This window comes from Homo sapiens, chromosome 12 (assembly GCF_000001405.40).
Source record: "Homo sapiens chromosome 12, GRCh38.p14 Primary Assembly".
NCBI classification, from domain to species: Eukaryota; Metazoa; Chordata; class Mammalia; order Primates; family Hominidae; genus Homo; species Homo sapiens.
Genome location: NC_000012.12, coordinates 11499010 through 11501676, shown reverse-complemented (window position 1 = coordinate 11501676; position 2667 = coordinate 11499010). Strand labels below are relative to the sequence as shown.

The window sequence follows — 2667 nt, the reverse complement described above, 5'->3', positions numbered from 1 at the left end:
GAGCCCCTCTTGGCTGTGACTCCCGCCGCACCAGGTAAAGAGCCACATTTTCTCTTCCTCTGCCTCCAGCTCCCCTGGTTTCCCACATCACTCCTGCTTTTCAGCGTTGTTCTCCACCTTCTGAATTCCCCTCTACCCCAGTCCTACTCTTCCTTGGCCCCAGCCCTTGTAAAGCTCTTCGCATGCCTCCATGTCTCTGACTTTTTCGTATCTCACTCTCCATTCAAATACTTCTACTACTGAAACTCCCTTCCATTTTTTTTCTAACTTAAAAAAATATTTCAATGGTTCTATTTTCTTCAGTTTGATCTTCACTCCAACTTCCTTCTAGTCTAGTCCCTTTAAATGCTGCCAGTTCCCAATATCCCCAATCGCTTAAATATCCTCTTTCTTTCGTCTTTTGCCCCTACTGATGATCTGGTTACTCCTTTTTGCGCCAACATTCCCCAAAACCTTCTCAAACACTAATATTTTCCCCTCTTTTCCCCGAAATCTCCCTGTCAGGCTTCTGCCCCCAAGCATCTTCTCACCCCTTCGCGCCACATCACCCAGGTCCTTTAGACTCCCACGCACCCAATTTCTGCATCTCCCCCTCACACCCGCTTGCTTCCCTTGCTTCCACCACAGCAGTGCTCATCTGCTCTTCCCCGCTCACTCAGGTCTCCTGCTCAGGACTCCCTTGCCGAGGGCGCGGGAGATTCTTGCTGAAGGGGGGTTCCGGGGGCAGCGCAGCAACCCGGGGGACCTTTCTTCTCCTTGTTGGCCTTGACCCCAAGTGTTCCCGGGTGCTGATGGGGCGACTGGGTTGTGTGAGCCCTGCCTCCAGGGTCTGGCTCGGGTTGCGCCAGGAGCTGTTCGTGGTTCTGAAACGATGCCAGCTCGGGCGCGGGCAGTGGCCGGGCGGATGAGCGCTGTCCGTGGTCCTGAAGATGTTCCTGGGCCCCGGCGGTGGCGGCGGCAGCGGTGCCTAGGAGGGCCGGCAGCGGGGACGGCTACGAGGTAAGGAATCCGGGCGGAGGCTGCGCTTGCGGCAGCTGCGGATGCTCCCACAGGCTGCGATTCTAGGCGCTCAGCTCGTTCAGCCGCCGCTCCAGCTCGTCGATGCTCTGGCGCTGGGTGCGGACGAGCCTCTGTTGGTTCAGCACGATGGCCCTGAGCTCCTTGAGGTAGAGCCCGGCGCACCGGATTCTCCAGAAGTCTCTCCAAGCCGCCCGCCAGCCTCTTGAGCCCTTCCTGCGCCTGGGCGGCGGTGGGGAGCGCGAGGGCGCGGGATCCCAGCAGCCCAGCGGTCGGCTTTCTTCCTTCTCCCCCTGGCCTAGTCTTCCTCTCGCCGCAGGCGCCGCGTCACTGCCACCCTGACTTTCACACACCCACCGCGGGGCAGGGTCATGGCCCAGGGCAGCCCTTCCTGTCTCTTGGCGTCCAGAGGAGGCTTTGCTACTCGCAGGGCATTGAGAAGAGGGAGGAGGCGAGCAAGAGGTTCGGGCGTGGGAGGGAAGCAGGATAAACGCAGGTGACCGCAGAAGGACAGGGGGCGGCCCTCTGATCAGGTGGGGGATGGGTGGCAGCACCCACCTGCTGAAGATGTCTCCAGGGACCTTCTGCAGGCACTGCCGGGCATCTGCCACCTGCCGGACGGCCTCCTCTCACTGCAGGTCTGGTGGGATGTGGGACAAGGCATAGGTCTGATCTGCCAGGGGATGCTGGGTCCTCGCAGGAGTCATGGTGCCTGTGGGTGGGAGCCAGAGCATCAGAGCCACCCACGCCCACCGGCACCCACTTACCTCAGGTAGCGTGGTGTTGAGACACCACAGCCCTTATCCTAATCGTGTGCACAGCTTCAGTCTATAAAGGTGGGGATGGGAGACAGAGCATTTGGTGGGAGGCCAGGAGCTCATAGGAGATGGGATTCTGCTGATAGCTGCTGAGTGAATGAGGGAGGGAATGGGCAGGACCAGGGGCTGGGTAATTGGTAGGGAAAATGGAGGAACTTGGAGAAGGAGCAACATTTCCTCACCCCTTATAAGGTGCTTGGTACCTGCCAAGAACCCTGTCCATACATGATCTCAGTTCAGCTCCCCACCTTGGGTATACAAGAAAGGAGCCCTGGCTGCAGAGGAAAACAGAGGCTGGAAACAGGGATACATGGGCAGTGTGGTGGTGGTGAGAGAATTGCCCGAATCAGCTGCCAAATGGTGCCCAGGTTGGAAAAGCAAATGTGCACACATGGGTTCTTCCCACTCTAACCCTGAGGAATTCGAGGCCTGCTTCTTACACAGACTGGGCAGTGGCTAGTGACTCTAGGTATAGCAGTGTCCAGGCCCTGCTCACCCAGACTAGAGCTTAGGGAGCCAGAAGGAAGGAGGTGCATGACAGGTGGGAAAAATAATCCTCAAATTGCAAGGTGAGAGCACAATCTATTTATACTGGGTTGAATTAACTCCTCCCCCAATGCCACTAAAGCAGGAATCACACTGCACATGGCACTGATTTGATTGGCAAGAGACATGCCACGCAGAATATTAAGAGACCAGGCCCCTATAATTAGGCCTAATCACAGCCTGTTGCTTGAACATGGCCAGAAAGACATTCATCAGGCCTGGCATTGTGCCCTAGGCCAGCTCTACTGGGCACTGTAGTGAGGCCCTCCATTGCAACAGAGGTGTG

At 57.2% G+C, this 2667-nt stretch overlaps 1 pseudogene, besides 1 other annotated feature; it reads right to left on the bottom strand.

The window, feature by feature from the left end:
• IQSEC3P2 (IQ motif and Sec7 domain 3 pseudogene 2) lies at positions 655-1206 on the bottom strand (annotated as a pseudogene).
• Positions 1078-1968: an enhancer, noted in NCBI's record as "H3K4me1 hESC enhancer chr12:11652643-11653533 (GRCh37/hg19 assembly coordinates)". NCBI's record gives its function as "activates a minimal SCP1, AML or CMV promoter by ChIP-STARR-seq in primed H9 embryonic stem cells {active_cell/tissue: H9 hESC(primed)}" and the evidence as "EXISTENCE:reporter gene assay evidence [ECO:0000049][PMID:30033119]".